This window comes from Homo sapiens, chromosome 12 (genome assembly GCF_000001405.40).
Source record: "Homo sapiens chromosome 12, GRCh38.p14 Primary Assembly".
Classification (NCBI taxonomy): Eukaryota; Metazoa; Chordata; class Mammalia; order Primates; family Hominidae; genus Homo; species Homo sapiens.
In genome coordinates this window covers 37,012,808-37,034,787 of record NC_000012.12, presented here as the reverse complement: position 1 = coordinate 37,034,787, position 21,980 = coordinate 37,012,808, and the positions used below count along the sequence as shown (strand labels likewise).

The window sequence follows — 21,980 nt, the reverse complement described above, 5'->3', positions numbered from 1 at the left end:
GTAGTTTCTGAGAATGATTCTGTCTAGTTTTTATACGAAGATGTTTCCTTTTCTACATTTGGTCTCAAAGCGATTGAAATCTCCAACTGGAAACTGCACAAATAGGGTGTTTCAAATCTGCTCTGTCTAAAGGAAGGTTCAACTCTGTGAGTTGAATACACACACCACAAATAAGTTACTGAGAATTCTTCTGTCAAACATTACATGAATAAATCCCGTTTCCAACGAAGGCCTCAAAGAGGTCCAAATATCCACTTGCAGACATTACAAACAGAGTGTTTCCAATCTGCTCCATCAAAGGAAAGGTTAAATTCTGTGAGCTGAACACACACATCAAAAAGAAGTTTCTGTGAATGATTCTGTCTAGATTGTATAAGAAGATGTTTCCTTTTCTACCGTAGGCCTCAAAGCGCTTGAAATCTCCAGCTGCAAATTCCACAAAAAGGGTGTTTAACATCTGCTCTTCTAAAGGAAAGTTCAACTCTATGAGTTGAATACACACAGCACAAAGAAGTTACTGAGACTTCTCCTATCAAACATTATATGAAGAAATCCCTTCTCCAACGAAGGCCTCAAAGAGGTCCAAATATCTGCTTGCAGACTTTACAGACAGAGTGTTTCCAAACCGCTCCATCAAAAGAAAGGTTAACCTCCTTGAGTTGAACACACACATCACAAAGTAGTTTCTGTGAATGATTCTGTCTAGTTTTTATAAGAAGATGTTTCCTTTTCTACCTTTGGTCTCAAAGCGATTGAAATCTCCACATGGAAACTCCTCAAAAAGAGTGTTTCAAATCTGCTCTTTCTGAAGGAAGGTTCAACTCTGTGAGTTGAATACACACACCACAAATAAGTTACTGAGAATTCTTCTGTGTAACATTATATGAGGAAATCCCGTTTCCATCGAAGGCCTCAAAGAGGTCCAAATATCCACTTGCAGACTTTACAAAGACAGTGTCTCCAAACTCCTCCATCAAAAGAAAGGTTATACTCTGTGAATTGAACGCACACATCACAAAGTAGTTTCTGAGAATGATTCTGTCTAGTTTTTATACGAAGATATTTCCTTTTCTACATTTGGCCTAAAAGCGCTTGAAATCTCCACCTGCAAATATCACAAAAAGAGGGTTTCACATCTGCTCTGTCTAAAGGACAGTTCACCTCTGTGAGTTGAATAGAGGCAACACAAAGAACGTACTCAGTATTCTTCTTTCTAGCATTCTATGAAGAAATCCCGTTTCCAACGAAGGCCTCAAAGAGGTCCAAATATCTGCTTGCAGACTTTACAGACAGAGTGTTTCCAAACTACTCTATGAAAAGAAAGCTTAAACTCCTTGAGTTGAATGCACACATCACAAAGTAGTTTCTGAGAATGATTCTGTCTAGTTTTTATACGAAGATGTTTCCTTTTCTACATTTGGTCTCAAAGCGATTGAAATCTCCAACTGGAAACTGCACAAATAGGGTGTTTCAAATCTGCTCTGTCTAAAGGAAGGTTCAACTCTTTGAGTTGAATACACACACCACAAATAAGTTACTGAGAATTCTTCTGTCGAACATTACTTGAAGAAATCCCGTTTCCAAAGAAGGCCTCAAAGAGGTCCAAATATCCACTTGCAGACATTACAAACAGAGTGTTTCCAAACTGCTCCATCAAAAGAAAGGTTAAACTCTGTGAGCTGAACACACACATCAAAAAGAAGTTTCTGTGAATGATTCTGTCTAGATTTTATAAGAAGATGTTTCCTTTTCTACCGTAGGCCTCAAAGCGCTTGAAATCTCCAGCTGCAAATTCCACAAAAAGGGTGTTTAACATCTGCTCTTCTAAAGGAAAGTTCAACTCTATGAGTTGAATACACACAGCACAAAGAAGTTACTGAGACTTCTCCTATCAAACATTATATGAAGAAATCCCGTTTCCAACGAAGGCCTCAAAGAGGTCCAAGTATCTGCTTGCAGACGTTACAGACAGAGTGTTTCCAAACTGCTCCATCAAAAGAAAGGTTAAACTCCTTGAGTTGAACACACACATCACAAAGTAGTTTCTGTGAATGATTCTGTCTAGTTTTTATACGAAGATGTTTCCTTTTCTACCTTTGGTCTCAAAGCGATTGAAATCTCCACATGGAAACTCCACAAAAAGAGTGTTTCAAATCTGCTCTTTCTGAAGGAAGGTTCAACTCTGTGAGTTGAATACACACACCACAAATAAGTTACTGAGAATTCTTCTGTGTAACATTACATGAGGAAATCCCGTTTCCAACGAAGGCCTCAAAGAGGTCCAAATATCCACTTGCAGACTTTACAAAGACAGTGTCTCCAAACTCCTCCATCAAAAGAAAGGTTATACTCTGTGAATTGAACGCACACATCACAAAGTAGTTTCTGAGAATGATTCTGTCTAGTTTTTATACGAAGATATTTCCTTTTCTACATTTGGCCTAAGAGCGCTTGAAATCTCCACCTGCAAATATCACAAAAAGAGGGTTTCACATCTGCTCTGTCTAAAGGACAGTTCACCTCTGTGAGTTGAATAGAGGCAACACAAAGAACTTACTCAGTATTCTTCTTTCTAGCGTTCTATGAAGAAATCCCTTTTCCAAAGAAGGCCTCAAAGAGGTCCAAATATCTGCTTGCAGACTTTACAGAGTGTTTCCAAACTACTCTATGAAAAGAAAGCTTAAACTCCTTGAGTTGAACGCACACATCACAAAGTAGTTTCTGAGAATGATTCTGTCTAGTTTTTATACGAAGATGTTTCCTTTTCTACATTTGGTCTCAAAGCGATTGAAATCTCCAACTGGAAACTGCACAAATAGGGTGTTTCAAATCTGCTCTGTCTAAAGGAAGGTTCAACTCTGTGAGTTGAATACACACACCACAAATAAGTTACTGAGAATTCTTCTGTCGAACATTACTTGAAGAAATCCCGTTTCCAACGAAGGCCTCAAAGTAGGTCCAAATATCCACTTGCAGACATTACAAACAGAGTGTTTCCAAACTGCTCCATCAAAAGAAAGGTTAAACTCTGTGAGCTGAACACACACATCAAAAAGAAGTTTCTGTAAATGATTCTGTCAAGATTTTATAAGATGTTTCCATTTCTACCGTAGGACTCAAAGCGCTTGAAATCTCCAGCTGCAAATTCCACAAAAAGGGTGTTTAACATCTGCTCTTCTAAAGGAAAGTTCAACTCTATGAGTTGAATACACACAGCACAAAGAAGTTACTGAGACTTCTCCTATCAAACATTATATGAAGAAATCCCGTTTCCAACGAAGGCCTCAAAGAGGTCCAAATATCTGCTTGCAGACATTACAGACAGAGTGTTCCCAAACTGCTCCATCAAAAGAAAGGTTAAACTCCTTGAGTTGAACACACACATCACAAAGTAGTTTCTGTGAATGATTCTGTCCAGTTTTTATACGAAGATGTTTCCTTTTCTACCTTTGGTCTCAAAGCGATTGAAATCTCCACATGGAAACTCCACAAAAAGAGTGTTTCAAATCTGCTCTTTCTGAAGGAAGGTTCAACTCTGTGAGTTGAATACACACACCACAAATAAGTTACTGAGAATTCTTCTGTGTAACATTATATGAGGAAATCCCGTTTCCAACGAAGGCCTCAAAGAGGTCCAAATATCCACTTGCAGACTTTACAAAGACAGTGTCTCCAAACTCCTCCATCGAAAGAATGGTTATACTCTGTGAATTGAACGCACACATCACAAAGTAGTTTCTGAGAATGATTCTGTCTAGTTTTTATACGAAGATATTTCCTTTTCTACATTTGGCCTCAAAGCGCTTGAAATCTCCACCTGCAAATATCACAAAAAGAGGGTTTCACATCTGCTCTGTCTAAAGGACAGTTCACCTCTGTGAGTTGAATAGAGGCAACACAAAGAACTTACTCAGTATTCTTCTTTCTACCGTTCTATGAAGAAATCCCGTTTCCAACGAAGGCCTCAAAGAGGTCCAAATATCTGCTTGCAGACTTTACAGACAGAGTGTTTCCAAACTACTCTATGAAAAGAAAGCTTAAACTCCTTGAGTTGAACGCACACATCACAAAGTAGTTTCTGAGAATGATTCTGTCTAGTTTTTATACGAAGATGTTTCCTTTTCTACATTTGGTCTCAAAGCGATTGAAATCTCCAACTGGAAACTGCACAAATAGGCTGTTTCAAATCTGCTCTGTCTAAAGGAAGGTTCAACTCTGTGAGTTGAATACACACACCACAAAGAAGTTACTGAGAATTCTTCTGTCGAACATTACAGGAAGAAATCCCGTTTCCAGCGAAGGCCTCAAAGAGGTCCAAATATCCACTTGCAGACATTACAAACAGAGTGTTTCCAAACTGCTCCATCAAAAGAAAGGTTAAACTCTGTGAGCTGAACACACACATCAAAAAGAAGTTTCTGTGAATGATTCTGTCTAGATTTTATAAGAAGATGTTTCCTTTTCTACCGTAGGCCTCAAAGCGCTTGAAATCTCCAGCTGCAAATTCCACAAAAAGGGTGTTTAACATCTGCTCTTCTAAAGGAAAGTTCAACTCTATGAGTTGAATACACACAGCACAAAGAAGTTACTGAGACTTCTTCTGTCTAACATTATATGAAGAAATCCCGATTCCAACGAAGGCCTCAAAGAGGTCCAAATATCTGCCTGCAGACTTTACAGACAGAGTGTTTCCAAACTGCTCCATCAAAAGAAAGGTTAAACTCCTTGAGTTGAACACACACATCACAAAGTAGTTTCTGTGAATGATTCTGTCTAGTTTTTATACGAAGATGTTTCCTTTTCTACCTTTGGTCTCAATGCGATTGAAATCTCCACATGGAAACTCCACAAAAAGAGTGTTTCAAATCTGCTCTTTCTGAAGGAAGGTTCAACTCTGTGAGTTGAATACACACACCACAAATAAGTTACTGAGAATTCTTCTGTGTAACATTATATGAGGAAATCCCGTTTCCAACGAAGGCCTCAAAGAGGTCCAAATATCCACTTGCAGACTTTACAAAGACAGTGTCTCCAAACTCCTCCATCAAAAGAAAGGTTATACTCTGTGAATTGAACGCACACATCACAAAGTAGTTTCTGAGAATGATTCTGTCTAGTTTTTATACGAAGATATTTCCTTTTCTACATTTGGCCTAAAAGCGCTTGAAATCTCCACCTGCAAATATCACAAAAAGAGGGTTTCACATCTGCTCTGTCTAAAGGACAGTTCACCTCTGTGAGTTGAATAGAGGCAACACAAAGAACTTACTCAGTATTCTTCTTTCTAGCGTTCTATGAAGAAATCCCGTTTCCAACCGAAGGCCCTAAAGAGGTCCAAATATCTGCTTGCAGACTTTACAGACAGAGTGTTTCCAAACTACTCTATGAAAAGAAAGCTTAAACTCCTTGAGTTGAACGCACACATCACAAAGTAGTTTCTGAGAATGATTCTGTCTAGTTTTTATACGAAGATGTTTCCTTTTCTACATTTGGTCTCAAAGCTCTTGAAATCTCCAACTGGAAACTGCACAAATAGGGTGTTTCAAATCTGCTCTGTCTAAAGGAAGGTTCAACTCTGTGAGTTGAATACACACACCACAAATAAGTTACTGAGAATTCTTCTGTCGAACATTACTTGAAGAAATCCCGTTTCCAACGAAGGCCTCAAAGAGGTCCAAATATCCACTTGCAGATATTACAAACAGAGTGTTTCCAAACTGCTCCAACAAAAGAAAGGTTAAACTCTGTGAGCTGAACACAAACATCAAAAAGAAGTTTCTGTGAATGATTCTGTCTAGGTTTTATAAGAAGATGTTTCCTTTTCTACCGTAGGCCTCAAAGCGCTTGAAATCTCCAGCTGCAAATTCCACAAAAAGGGTGTTTAACATCTGCTCTTCTAAAGGAAAGTTCAACTCTATGAGTTGAATACACACAGCACAAAGAAGTTACTGAGACTTCTCCTATCAAACATTATATGAAGAAATCCCGTTTCCAACGAAGCCCTCAAAGAGGTACAAATATCTGCTTGCAGACTTTACAGACAGAGTGTTTCCAAACTGCTCCATCAAAAGAAAGGTTAAACTCCTTGAGTTGAACACACACATCACAAAGTAGTTTCTGTGAATGATTCTGTCTAGTTTTTATACGAAGATGTTTCCTTTTCTACCTTTGGTCTCAAAGCGATTGAAATCTCCACATGGAAACTCCACAAAAAGAGTGTTTCAAATCTGCTCTTTCTGAAGGAAGGTTCACCTCTGTGAGTTGAATAAACACACCACAAATAAGTTACTGAGAATTCTTCTGGGTAACATTATATGAGGAAATCCCGTTTCCAACGAAGGCCTCAAAGAGGTCCAAATATCCACTTGCAGACTTTACAAAGACAGTGTCTCCAAACTCCTCCATCAAAAGAAAGGTTATACTCTGTGAATTGAACGCACACATCACAAAGTAGTTTCTGAGAATGATTCTGTCTAGTTTTTATACGAAGATATTTCCTTTTCTACATTTGGCCTAAAAGCGCTTGAAATCTCCACCTGCAAATATCACAAAAAGAGGGTTTCACATCTGCTCTGTCTAAAGGACAGTTCACCTCTGTGAGTTGAATAGAGGCAACACAAAGAACTTACTCAGTATTCTTCTTTCTAGCGTTCTATGAAGAAATCCCGTTTACAACGAAGGCCTCAAAGAGGTCCAAATATCTGCTTGCAGACTTTACAGACAGAGTGTTTCCAAACTACTCTATGAAAAGAAAGCTTAAACTCCTTGAGTTGAACGCACACATCACAAAGTAGTTTCTGAGAATGATTCTGTCTAGTTTTTATATGAAGATGTTTCCTTTTCTACATTTGGTCTCAAAGCGATTGAAATCTCCAACTGGAAACTGCACAAATAGGCTGTTTCAAATCTGCTCTGTCTATAGGAAGGTTCAACTCTGTGAGTTGAATACACACACCACAAATAAGTTACTGAGAATTCTTCTGTCGAACATTACTTGAGGAAATCCCGTTTCCAACGAAGGCCTCAAAGAGGTCCAAATATCCACTTGCAGACATTACAAACAGTGTGTTTCCAAACTGCTCCATCAAAAGAAAGGTTAAACTCTGTGAGCTGAACACACACATCAAAAAGAAGTTTCTGTGAATGATTCTGTCTAGATTTTATAAGAAGATGTTTCCTTTTCTACCGTAGGCCTCAAAGCGCTTGAAATCTCCGGCTGCAAATTCCACAAAAAGGGTGTTTAACATCTGCTCTTCTAAAGGAAAGTTCAACTCTATGAGTTGATTGCACACAGCACAAAGAAGTTACTGAGACTTCTCCTATCAAACATTATATGAAAAAATCCCGTTTCCAACGAAGGCCTCAAAGAGGTCCAAATATCTGCTTGCAGACTTTACAGACAGAGTGTTTCCAAACTGCTCCATCAAAAGAAAGGTTAAACTCCTTGAGTTGAACACACACATCACAAAGTAGTTTCTGTGAATGATTCTGTCTAGTTTTTATACGAAGATGTTTCCTTTTCTACCTTTGGTCTCAAAGCGATTGAAATCTCCACATGGAAACTCCACAAAAAGAGTGTTTCAAATCTGCTCTTTCTGAAGGAAGGTTCAACTCTGTGAGTTGAATACACACACCACAAATAAGTTACTGAGAATTCTTCTGTGTAACATTATATGAGGAAATCCCGTTTCCAACGAAGGCCTCAAAGAGGTCCAAATATCCACTTGCAGACTTTACAAAGACAGTGTCTCCAAACTCCTCCATCAAAGAAAGGTTATACTATGTGAATTGAACGCACACATCACAAAGTAGTTTCTGAGAATGATTCTGTCTAGTTTTTATACGAAGATATTTCCTTTTCTACATTTGGCCTAAAAGCACTTGAAATCTCCACTGCAAATATCACAAAAAGAGGGTTTCACATCTGCTCTGTCTAAAGGACAGTTCACCTCTGTGAGTTGAATAGAGGCAACACAAAGAACTTACTCAGTATTCTTCTTTCTACCGTTCTATGAAGAAATCCCGTTTCCAACGAAGGCCTCAAAGAGGTCCAAATATCTGCTTGCAGACTTTACAGACAGAGTGTTTCCAAACTACTCTATGAAAAGAAAGCTTAAACTCCTTGAGTTGAACGCACACATCACAAAGTAGTTTCTGAGAATGATTCTGTTTTGTTTTTATACGAAGATATTTCCTTTTCTATGATTGGCCCCAAAGCGATTGAAATCTCCAACTGGAAACTGCACAAATAGGGAGTTTCAAATCTGCTCTGTCTAAAGGAAGATTCAACTCTGTGAGTTGAATACACACACCACAAATAAGTTACTGAGAATTCTTCTGTCGAACATTACATGAAGAAATCCCGTTTCCAACGAAGGCCTCAAAGAGGTCCAAATATCCATTTGCCGAGAATGCAAACACAGTTTTTCCAAACTGCTCCATCAAAAGAAAGGTTAAACTCTGTGAGATGAACACACACATCAAAAAGAAGTTTCTGTGAATGATTCTGTCTAGATTGTATAAGAAGATGTTTCCTTTTCTACCGTAGGCCTCAAAGCGCTTGAAATCTATAGCTGCAAATTCCACAAAAAGGGTGTTTAACATCTGCTCTTCTAAAGGAAAGTTCAACTCTATGAGTTGAATACACACAGCACAAAGAAGTTACTGAGACTTCTCGTATCAAACATTATATGAAGAAATCCCGTTTCCAACGAAGGCCTCAAAGAGGTCCAAATATCTGCTTGCAGACTTTACAGACAGAGTCTTTCCAAACTGCTCCATCAAAAGAAAGGTTAAACTCCTTGAGTTGAACGCACACATCACAAAGTAGTTTCTGAGAATGATTCTGTCTAGTTTTTATACGAAGATGTTTCCTTTTCTACCTTTGGTCTCAAAGCGATTGAAATCTCCACATGGAAACTCCACAAAAAGAGTGTTTCAAATCTGCTCTTTCTGAAGGAAGGTTCAACTCTGTGAGTTGAATACACACACCACAAATAAGTTACTGAGAATTCTTCTGGGTAACATTATATGAGGAAATCCCGTTTCCAACGAAGGCCTCAAAGAGGTCCAAATATCCACTTGCAGACTTTACAAAGACAGTGTCTCCAAACTCCTCCATCAAAAGAAAGGTTATACTCTGTGAATTGAACGCACACATCACAAAGTAGTTTCTGAGAATGATTCTGTCTACTTTTTATACGAAGATATTTCCTTTTCTACATTTGGCCTAAAAGCGCTTGAAATCTCCACCTGCAAATATCACAAAAAGAGGGTTTCACATCTGCTCTGTCTAAAGGACAGTTCACCTCTGTGAGTTGAATAGAGGCAACACAAAGAAGTTACTGAGTATTCTTCTTTCTAGCGTTCTATGAAGAAATCCCGTTTCCAACGAAGGCCTCAAAGAGGTCCAAATATCTGCTTGCAGACTTTACAGACAGAGTGTTTCCAAACTACTCTATGAAAAGAAAGCTTAAACTCCTTGAGTTGAACGCACACATCACAAAGTAGTTTCTGAGAATGATGCTGTCTAGTTTTTGTACGAAGATGTTTCCTTTTCTACATTTGGTCTCAAAGCCATTGAAATCTCCAACTGGAAACTGCACAAATAGGGTGTTTCAAATCTGCTCTGTCTAAAGGAAGGTTCAACTCTGTGAGTTGAATACACACACCATAAATAAGTTACCGAGAATTCTTCTGTCGAACATTACTTGAAGAAATCCCGTTTCCAACGAAGGCCTCAAAGAGGTCCAAATATCCACTTGCAGACATTACAAACAGAGTGTTTCCAAACTGCTCCATCAAAAGAAAGGTTAAACTCTGTGAGCTGAACACACACATCAAAAAGAAGTTTCTGTGAATGATTCTGTCTAGATTTTATAAGAAGATGTTTCCTGTTCTACCGTAGGCCTCAAAGCGCTTGAAATCTCCAGCTGCAAATTCCACAAAAAGGGTGTTTAACATCTGCTCTTCTAAAGGAAAGTTCAACTCAATGAGTTGAATACACACAGCACAAAGAAGTTACTGAGACTTCTCCTATCAAACATTATATGAAGAAATCCCGTTTCCAACGAAGGCCTCAAAGAGGTCCAAATATCTGCTTGCAGACTTTACAGACAGAGTTTTTCCAAACTGCTCCATCAAAAGAAAGGTTAAACTCCTTGAGTTGAACACACACATCACAAAGTAGTTTCTGTGAATGATTCTGTCTAGTTTTTATACGAAGATGTTTCCTTTTCTACCTTTGGTCTCAAAGCGATTGAAATCTCCACATGGAAACTCCACAAAAAGAGTGTTTCAAATCTGCTCTTTCTGAAGGAAGGTTCAACTCTGTGAGTTGAATACACACACCACAAATAAGTTACTGAGAATTCTTCTGTGTAACATTATATGAGGAAATCCCGTTTCCAACGAAGGCCTCAAAGAGGTCCAAATATCCACTTGCAGACTTTACAAAGACAGTGTCTCCAAACTCCTCCATCAAAAGAAAGGTTATCCTCTGTGAATTGAACGCACACATCACAAAGTAGTTTCTGAGAATGATTCTGTCTAGTTTTTATACGAAGATATTTCCTTTTCTACATTTGGCCTAAAAGCGCTTGAAATCTCCACCTGCAAATATCACAAAAAGAGGGTTTCACATCTGCTCTGTCTAAAGGACAGTTCACCTCTGTGAGTTGAATAGAGGCAACACAAAGAACTTACTCAGTATTCTTCTTTCTACCGTTCTATGAAGAAATCCCGTTTCCAACGAAGGCCTCAAAGAGGTCCAAATATCTGCTTGCAGACTTTACAGACAGAGTGTTTCCAAACTACTCTATGAAAAGAAAGCTTAAACTCCTTGAGTTGAACGCACACATCACAAAGTAGTTTCTGAGAATGATTCTGTCTAGTTTTTATACGAAGATATTTCCTTTTCTACATTTGTCTCAAAGCGATTGAAATCTCCAACTGGAAACTGCACAAATAGGGTGTTTCAAATCTGCTCTGTCTAAAGGGAGGTTCAACTCTGTGAGTTCAATACACACACCACAAATAAGTTACTGAGAATTCTTCTGTCTAACATTATATGAAGAAATCCCGTTTCCAACGAAGGCCTCAAAGAGGTCCAAATATCCACTTGCAGACTTGTCAAACAGAGTGTTTCCAAACTGCACCATCAAAAGAAAGGTTAAACTCTGTGAGCTGAACACACACAACACAAAGTAGTTTCTGTGAATGATTCTCTATAGATTTTATAAGAAGATGTTTCCTTTTCTACCCTTGGCCTCAAAGCGCTTGAAATCTCCAGCTGCAAATTCCACAAAAAGGGTGTTTAACATCTGCTCTTCTAAAGGAAAGTTCAACTCTATGAGTTGAATACACACAGCACAAAGAAGTTACTGAGACTTCTCCTATCAAACATTATATGAAGAAATCCCGTTTCCAACGAAGGCCTCAAAGAGGTCCAAATATCTGCTTGCAGACTTTACAGACAGAGTTTTTCCAAACTGCTCCATCAAAAGAAAGGTTAAACTCCTTGAGTTGAACACACACATCACAAAGTAGTTTCTGTGAATGATTCTGTCTAGTTTTTATACGAAGATGTTTCCTTTTCTACCTTTGGTCTCAAAGCGATTGAAATCTCCACATGGAAACTCCACAAAAAGAGTGTTTCAAATCTGCTCTTTCTGAAGGAATGTTCAACTCTGTGAGTTGAATACACACACCACAAATAAGTTACTGAGAATTCTTCTGTGTAACATTATATGAGGAAATCCCGTTTCCAACGAAGGCCTCAAAGAGGTCCAAATATCCACTTGCAGACTTTACAAAGACAGTGTCTCCAAACTCCTCCATCAAAAGAAAGGTTATACTCTGTGAATTGAACGCACACATCACAAAGTAGTTTCTGAGAATGATTCTGTCTAGTTTTTATACGAAGATATTTCCTTTTCTACATTTGGCCTAAAAGCGCTTGAAATCTCCACCTGCAAATATCACAAAAAGAGGGTTTCACATCTGCTCTGTCTAAAGGACAGTTCACCTCTGTGAGTTGAATAGAGGCAACACAAAGAACTTACTCAGTATTCTTCTTTCTAGCGTTCTATGAAGAAATCCCGTTTCCAACGAAGGCCCCAAAGAGGTCCAAATATCTGCTTGCAGACTTTACAGACAGAGTGTTTCCAAACTACTCTATGAAAAGAAAGCTTAAACTCCTTGAGTTGAACGCACACATCACAAAGTAGTTTCTGAGAATGATTCTGTCTAGTTTTTATACGAAGATGTTTCCTTTTCTACATTTGGTCTCAAAGCGATTGAAATCTCCAACTGGAAACTGCACAAATAGGGTGTTTCAAATCTGCTCTGTCTAAAGGAAGGTTCAACTCTTTGAGTTGAATACACACACCACAAATAAGTTACTGAGAATTCTTCTGTCGAACATTACTTGAAGAAATCCCGTTTCCAACGAAGGCCTCAAAGAGGTCCAAATATCCACTTGCAGACATTACAAACAGAGTGTTTCCAAACTGCTCCATCAAAAGAAAGGTTAAACTCTGTGAGCTGAACACACACATCGAAAAGAAGTTTCTGTGAATGATTCTGTCTAGATTTTATAAGAAGATGTTTCCTTTTCTACCGTAGGCCTCAAAGCGCTTGAAATCTCCAGCTGCAAATTCCACAAAAAGGGTGTTTAACATCTGCTCTTCTAAAGGAAAGTTCAACTCTATGAGTTGAATACACACAGCACAAAGAAGTTACTGAGACTTCTCCTATCAAACATTATATGAAGAAATCCCGTTTCCAACGAAGGCCTCAAAGAGGTCCAAATATCTACTTGCAGACTTTACAGACAGAGTGTTTCCAAACTGCTCCATCAAAAGAAAGGTTAAACTCCTTGAGTTGAACACACACATCACAAAGTAGTTTCTGTGAATGATTCTGTCTAGTTGTTATACGAAGATGTTTCCTTTTCTACCTTTGGTCTCAAAGCGATTGAAATCTCCACATGGAAACTCCACAAAAAGAGTGTTTCAAATCTGCTCTTTCTGAAGGAAGGTTCATCTCTGTGAGTTGAATACACACACCACAAATAAGTTACTGAGAATTCTTCTGTGTAACATTATATGAGGAAATCCCGTTTCCAACGAAGGCCTCAAAGAGGTCCAAATATCCACTTGCAGACTTTACAAAGACAGTGTCTCCAAACTCCTCCATCAAAAGAAAGGTTATACTCTGTGAATTGAACGCACACATCACAAAGTAGTTTCTGAGAATGATTCTGTCTAGTTTTTATACGAAGATATTTCCTTTTCTACATTTGGCCTAAAAGCGCTTGAAATCTCCACCTGCAAATATCACAAAAAGAGGGTTTCACATCTGCTCTGTCTAAAGGACAGTTCACCTCTGTGAGTTGAATAGAGGCAACACAAAGAACTTACTCAGTATTCTTCTTTCTAGCGTTATATGAAGAAATCCCGTTTCCAACGAAGGCCTCAAAGAGGCCCAAATATCTGCTTGCAGACTTTACAGACAGAGTGTTTCCAAACTACTCTATGAAAAGAAAGCTTAAACTCCTTGAGTTGAACGCACACATCACAAAGTAGTTTCTGAGAATGATTCTGTCAAGTTTTTATACGAAGATGTTTCCTTTTCTACATTTGGTCTCAAAGCGATTGAAATCTGCAACTGGAAACTGCACAAATAGGGTGTTTCAAATCTGCTCTGTCTAAAGGAAGTTTCAACTCTGTGAGTTGAATACACACACCACAAATAAGTTACTGAGAATTCTTCTGTCGAACATTACAGGAAGAAATCCCGTTTCCAACGAAGGCCTCAAAGAGGTCCAAATATCCACTTGCAGACATTACAAACAGTGTGTTTCCCAACTGCTCCATCAAAAGAAAGGTTAAACTCTGTGAGCTGAACACACACATCAAAAAGAAGTTTCTGTGAATGATTCTGTCTAGATTTTATAAGATGTTTCCTTTTCTACCGTAGGCCTCAAAGCGCTTGAAATCTCCAGTTGCAAATTCCACAAAAACGGTGTTTAACATCTGCTCTTCTAAAGGAAAGTTCAACTCTATGAGTTGAATACACACAGCACAAAGAAGTTACTGAGACTTCTCCTATCAAACATTATATGAAGAAATCCCGTTTCCAAAGAAGGCCTCAAAGAGGTCCAAATATCTGCTTGCAGACTTTACAGACAGAGTTTTTCCAAACTGCTCCATGAATAGAAAGGTTAAACTCCTTGAGTTGAACACACACATCACAAAGTAGTTTCTGTGAATGATTCTGTCTAGTCTTTATACGAAGATGTTTCCTTTTCTACCTTTGGTCTCAATGCGATTGAAATCTCCACATGGAAACTCCACAAAAAGAGTGTTTCAAATCTGCTCTTTCTGAAGGAAGGTTCAACTCTGTGAGTTGAATACACACACCACAAATAAGTTACTGAGAATTCTTCTGTGTGACATTATATGAGGAAATCCCGTTTCCAACGAAGGCCTCAAAGAGGTCCAAATATCCACTTGCAGACTTTACAAAGACAGTGTCACCAAACTCCTCCATCAAAAGAAAGGTTATACTCTGTGAATTGAACGCACACATCACAAAGTAGTTTCTGAGAATGATTCTGTCTAGTTTTTATACGAAGATATTTCCTTTTCTACATTTGGCCTAAAAGCGCTTGAAATCTCCACCTGCAAATATCACAAAAAGAGGGTTTCACATCTGCTCTGTCTAAAGGACAGTTCACCTCTGTGAGTTGAATAGAGGCAACACAAAGAACTTACTCAGTATTCTTCTTTCTAGCGTTCTATGAAGAAATCCCGTTTCCAACGAAGGCCCCAAAGAGGTCCAAATATCTGCTTGCAGACTTTACAGACAGAGTGTTTCCAAACTACTCTATGAAAAGAAAGCTTAAACTCCTTGAGTTGAACGCACACATCACAAAGTAGTTTCTGAGAATGATTCTGTCTAGTTTTTATACGAAGATGTTTCCTTTTCTACATTTGGTCTCAAAGCGATTGAAATCTCCAACTGGAAACTGCACAAATAGGCTGTTTCAAATCTGCTCTGTCTAAAGGAAGGTTCAACTCTGTGAGTTGAATACACACACCACAAATAAGTTACTGAGAATTCTTCTGTCGAACATTACATGAAGAAATCCCGTTTCCAACGAAGGCCTCAAAGAGGTCCAAATATCCACTTGCAGACATTACAAACAGAGTGTTTCCAAACTGCTCCATCAAAAGAAAGTTTAAACCCTGTGAGCTGAACAAACACATCAAAAAGAAGTTTCTGTGAATGATTCTGTCTAGACTTTAGAAGAAGATGTTTCCTTTTCTACTGTAGGCCTCAAAGCGCTTGAAATCTCCAGCTGCAAATTCCACAAAAAGGGAGTTTAACATCTGCTCTTCTAAAGGAAAGTTCAACTCCATGAGTTGAATACACACAGCACAAAGAAGTTACTGAGACTTCTCCTATCAAACATTATATGAAGAAATCCCGTTTCCAACGAAGGCCTCAAAGAGGTCCAAATATCTACTTGCAGACTTTACAGACAGAGTGTTTCCAAACTGCTCCATCAAAAGAAAGGTTAAACTCCTTGAGTTGAACACACACATCACAAAGTAGTTTCTGTGAATGATTCTGTCTAGTTTTTATACGAAGATGTTTCCTTTTCTACCTTTGGTCTCAAAGCGATTGAAATCTCCACATGGAAACTCCACAAAAAGAGTGTTTCAAATCTGCTCTTTCTGAAGGAAGGTTCAACTCTGTGAGTTGAATACACACACCACAAATAAGTTACTGAGAATTCTTCTGTGTAACATTATATGAGGAAATCCCCTTTCCAACGAAGTCCTCAAAGAGGTCCAAATATCCACTTACAGACTTTACAAAGACAGTGTCTCCAAACTCCTCCATCAAAAGAAAGGTTATACTCTGTGAATTGAACGCACACATCACAAAGTAGTTTCTGAGAATGATTCTGTCTAGTTTTTATACGAAGATATTTCCTTTTCTACATTTGGACTAAAAGCGCTTGAAATCTCCATCTGCAAATATCACAAAAAGAGGGTTTCACATCTGCTCTGTCTAAAGGACAGTTCACCTCTGTGAGTTGAATAGAGGCAACACAAAGAACTTACTCAGCATTCTTCTTTCTAGCGTTCTATGAAGAAATCCCGTTTCCAACGAAGGCCTCAAAGAGGTCCAAATATCTGCTTGCACACTTTACAGACAGAGTGTTTCCAAACTACTCTATGAAAAGAAAGCTTAAACTCCTTGAGTTGAACGCACACATCACAAAGTAGTTTCTGAGAATGATTCTGTCAAGTTTTTATACGAAGATGTTTCCTTTTCTACATTTGGTCTCAAAGCGATTGAAATCTCCAACTGGAAACTGCACAAATAGGGTGTTTCAAATCTGCTCTGTCTAAAGGAAGGTTCAACACTGTGAGTTGAATACACACACCACAAATAAGTTACTGAGAATTCTTCTGTCGAACATTACATGAAGAAATCCCGTTTCCAACGAAGGCCTCAAAGACGTCCAAATATCCACTTGCAGACATTACAAACAGAGTGTTTCCAAACTGCTCCATCAAAAGAAAGGTTAAACTCTGTGAGCTGAACACACACATCAAAAAGAAGTTTCTGTGAATGATTCTGTCTAGATTTTATAAGAAGATGTTTCCTTTTCTACCGTAGGCCTCAAAGCGCTTGAAATCTCCAGCTGCAAATTCCACAAAAAGGGGGTTTAACATCTGGTCTTCTAAAGGAAAGTTCAACTCTATGAGTTGAATACACACAGCACAAAGAAGTTACTGAGACTTCTCCTATCAAACATTATATGAAGAAATCCCGTTTCCAACGAAGGCCTCAAAGAGGTCCAAATATCTGGTTGCAGACTTTACAGACAGAGTGTTTCCAAACTGCTCCATCAAAAGAAAGGTTAAACTCCTTGAGTTGAACACACACATCACAAAGTAGTTTCTGTGAATGATTCTGTCTAGTTTTTATACGAAGATGTTTCCTTTTCTACCTTTGGTCTCAAAGCGATTGAAATCTCCACATGGAAACTCCACAAAAAGAGTGTTTCAAATCTGCTCTTTCTGAAGGAAGGTTCAACTCTGTGAGTTGAATACACACACCACAAATAAGTTACTGAGAATTCTTCTGAGTAACATTATATGAGGAAATCCCGTTTCCAACGAAGGCCTCAAAGAGATCCAAATATCCACTTGCAGACTTTACAAACACAGTGTCTCCAAACTCCTCCATCAAAAGAAAGGTTATACTCTGTGAATTGAACGCACACATCACAAAGTAGTTTCTGAGAATGATTCTGTCTAGTTTTTATACGAAGATATTTCCTTTTCTACATTTGGCCTAAAAGCGCTTGAAATCTCCACCTGCAAATATCACAAAAAGAGGGTTTCACATCTGCTCTGTCTAAAGGACAGTTCACCTCTGTGAGTTGAATAGAGGCAACACAAAGAACTTACTCAGTATTCTTCTTTCTACCGTTCTATGAAGAAATCCCGTTTCCAACGAAGGCCTCAAAGAGGTCCAAATATCTGCTTGCAGACTTTACAGACAGAGTGTTTCCAAACTACTCTATGAAAAGAAAGCTTAAACTCCTTGAGTTGAACGCACACATCACAAAGTAGTTTCTGAGAATGATTCTGTCTAGTTTTTATACGAAGATGTTTCCTTTTCTACATTTGTCTCAAAGCGATTGAAATCTCCAACTGGAAACTGCACAAATAGGGTGTTTCAAATCTGCTCTGTCTAAAGGGAGGTTCAACTCTGTGAGTTCAATACACACACCACAAATAAGTTACTGAGAATTCTTCTTTCGAACATTACTTGAAGAAATCCCGTTTCCAATGAAGGCCTCAAAGAGGTCCAAATATCCACTTGCAGACATTACAAACAGAGTGTTTCCAAACTGCTCCATCAAAAGAAAGGTTAAACTCTGTGAGCTGAACACACACATCAAAAAGAAGTTTCTGTGAATGATTCTGTCTAGATTTTATAAGAAGATGTTTCCTTTTCTACCGTAGGCCTCAAAGCGCTTGAAATCTCCAGCTGCAAATTCCACAAAAAGGGTGTTTAACATCTGCTCTTCTAAAGAAAGTTCAACTCTATGAGTTGAATACACACAGCACAAAGAAGTTACTGAGACTTCTCCTATCAAACATTATATGAAGAAATCCCGTTTCCAACGAAGGCCTCAAAGAGGTCCAAATATCTGCTTGCAGACTTTACAGACAGAGTGTTTCCAAACTGCTCCATCAAAAGAAAGGTTAAACTCCTTGAGTTGAACACACACATCACAAAGTAGTTTCTGTGAATGATTCTGTCTAGTTGTTATACGAAGATGTTTCCTTTTCTACCTTTGGTCTCAAAGCGATTGAAATCTCCACATGGAAACTCCACAAAAAGAGTGTTTCAAATCTGCTCTTTCTGAAGGAAGGTTCATCTCTGTGAGTTGAATACACACACCACAAATAAGTTACTGAGAATTCTTCTGTGTAACATTATATGAGGAAATCCCGTTTCCAACGAAGGCCTCAAAGAGGTCCAAATATCCACTTGCAGACTTTACAAAGACAGTGTCTCCAAACTCCTCCATCAAAAGAAAGGTTATACTCTGTGAATTGAACGCACACATCACAAAGTAGTTTCTGAGAATGATTCTGTCTAGTTTTTATACGAAGATATTTCCTTTTCTACATTTGGCCTAAAAGCGCTTGAAATCTCCACGTGCAAATATCACAAAAAGAGGGTTTCACATCTGCTCTGTCTAAAGGACAGTTCACCTCTGTGAGTTGAATAGAGGCAACACAAAGAACTTACTCAGTATTCTTCTTTCTAGCGTTCTATGAAGAAATCCCGTTTCCAACGAAGGCCTCAAAGAGGTCAAATATCTGCTTGCAGACTTTACAGACAGAGTGTTTCCAAACTACTCTATGAAAAGAAAGCTTAAACTCCTTGAGTTGAACGCACACATCACAAAGTAGTTTCTGAGAATGATTCTGTCCAGTTTTTATACGAAGATGTTTCCTTTTCTACATTTGGTCTCAAAGCGATTGAAATCTCCAACTGGAAACTGCACAAATAGGGTGTTTCAAATCTGCTCTGTCTAAAGGAAGGTTCAACTCTGTGAGTTGAATACACACACCACAAATAAGTTACTGAGAATTCTTCTGTCGAACATTACATGAAGAAATCCCGTTTCCAACGAAGGCCTCAAAGAGGTCCAAATATCCACTTGCAGACATTACAAACAGAGTGTTTCCAAACTGCTCCATCAAAAGAAAGGTTAAACTCTGTGAGCTGAACACACACATCAAAAAGAAGTTTCTGTGAATGATTCTGTCTAGATTTTATAAGATGTTTCCTTTTCTACCGTAGGCCTCAAAGCGCTTGAAATCTCCAGCTGCAAATTCCACAAAAAGGGTGCTTAACATCTGCCCTTCTAAAGGAAAGTTCAACTCTATGAGTTGAATACACACAGCACAAAGAAGTTACTGAGACTTCTCCTATCAAACATTATATGAAGAAATCCCGTTTCCAACGAAGGCCTCAAAGAGGTCCAAATATCTGCTTGCAGACTTTACAGACAGAGTGTTTCCAAACTGCTCCATCAAAAGAAAGGTTAAACTGCTTGAGTTGAACACACACATCACAAAGTAGTTTCTGTGAATGATTCTGTCTAGTTGTTATACGAAGATGTTTCCTTTTCTACCTTTGGTCTCAAAGCGATTGAAATCTCCACATGGAAACTCCACAAAAAGAGTGTTTCAAATCTGCTCTTTCTGAAGGAAGGTTCATCTCTGTGAGTTGAATACACACACCACAAATAAGTTACTGAGAATTCTTCTGTGTAACATTATATGAGGAAATCCCGTTTCCAACGAAGGCCTCAAAGAGGTCCAAATATCCACTTGCAGACTTTACAAAGACAGTGTCTCCAAACTCCTCCATCAAAAGAAAGGTTATACTCTGTGAATTGAACGCACACATCACAAAGTAGTTTCTGAGAATGATTCTGTCTAGTTTTTATACGAAGATATTTCCTTTTCTACATTTGGCCTAAAAGCGCTTGAAATCTCCACCTGCAAATATCACAAAAAGAGGGTTTCACATCTGCTCTGTCTAAAGGACAGTTCACCTCTGTGAGTTGAATAGAGGCAACACAAAGAAGTTACTGAGTATTCTTCTTTCTAGCGTTATATGAAGAAATCCCGTTTCCAACGAAGGCCTCAAAGAGGTCCAAATATCTGCTTGCAGACTTTACAGACAGAGTGTTTCCAAACTACTCTATGAAAAGAAAGCTTAAACTCCGTGAGTTGAACGCACACATCACAAAGTAGTTTCTGAGAATGATTCTGTCTTGTTTTTATACGAAGATATTTCCGTTTCTACGATTGGCCTCAAAGCGATTGAAATCTCCAACTGGAAACTGCATAAATAGGGTGATTCAAATCTGCTCTGTCTAAAGGAAGGTTCAACTCTGTGAGTTGAATACACATACCACAAATAAGTTACTGAGAATTCTTCTGTGTAACATTATATGAGGAAATCCCGTTTCCAACGAAGGCCTCAAAGAGGTCCAAATATCCACCTGCAGACTTTACAAAGACAGTGTCTCCAAACTCCTCCATCAAAAGAAAGGTTATACTCTGTGAATTGAACGCACACATCACAAAGTAGTTTCTGAGAATGATTCTGTCTAGTTTTTATACGAAGATATTTCCTTTTCTACATTTGGCCTCAAAGCGCTTGAAATCTCCACCTGCAAATATCACAAAAAGAGGGTTTCACATCTGCTCTGTCTAAAGGGCAGTTAACCTCTGTGAGTTGAATAGAGGCAACACAAAGAACTTACTCAGTATTCTTCTTTCTAGCGTTCTATGAAGAAATCCCGTTTCCAACGAAGGCCCCAAAGAGGTCCAAATATCTGCTTGCAGACTTTACAGACAGAGTGTTTCCAAACTACTCTATGAAAAGAAAGCTTAAACTCCTTGAGTTGAACGCACACATCACAAAGTAGTTTCTGAGAATGATTCTGTCTAGTTTTTATACGAAGATGTTTCCTTTTCTACATTTGGTCTCAAAGCGATTGAAATCTCCAACTGGAAACTGCACAAATAGGGTGTTTCAAATCTGCTCTGTCTAAAGGAAGGTTCAACTCTGTGAGTTGAATACACACACCACAAATAAGTTACTGAGAATTCTTCTGTCGAACATTACTTGAAGAAATCCCGTTTCCAACGAAGGCCTCAAAGAGGTCCAAATATCCACTTGCAGACATTACAAACAGAGTGTTTCCAAACTGCTCCATCAAAAGAAAGGTTAAACTCTGTGAGCTGAACACACACATCAAAAAGAAGTTTCTGTGAATGATTCTGTCTAGATTTTATAAGAAGATGTTTCCTTTTCTACCGTAGGCCTCAAAGCGCTTGAAATCTCCAGCTGCAAATTCCACAAAAAGGGTGTTTAACATCTGCTCTTCTAAAGGAAAGTTCAACTCTATGAGTTGAATACACACAGCACAAAGAAGTTTCTGAGACTTCTCCTATCAAACATTATATGAAGAAATCCCGTTTCCAACGAAGGCCTCAAAGAGGTCCAAATATCTGCTTGCAGACTTTACAGACAGAGTGTTTCCAAACTGCTCCATCAAAAGAAAGGTTAAACTCCTTGAGTTGAACACACACATCACAAAGTAGTTTCTGTGAATGATTCTGTCTAGTTTTAATACGAAGATGTTTCCTTTTCTACCTTTGGTCTCAAAGCGATTGAAATCTCCACATGGAAACTCCACAAAAAGAGTGTTTCAAATCTGCTCTTTCTGAAGGAAGGTTCAACTCTGTGAGTTGAATACACACACCACAAATAAGTTACTGAGAATTCTCTGTGTAACATTATATGAGGAAATCCCGTTTCCAACGAAGGCCTCAAAGAGATCCAAATATCCA

At 38.5% G+C, this 21,980-nt stretch overlaps 1 annotated feature.

The window, feature by feature from the left end:
* Positions 1 to 21,980: part of a centromere (Linear centromere model derived predominantly from reads generated in PMID: 17803354. This region does not represent an actual centromere sequence, as long-range ordering of repeats and unmapped WGS contigs is not provided by the model. For details of model production, see http://arxiv.org/abs/1307.0035.) that runs on past both edges of the window.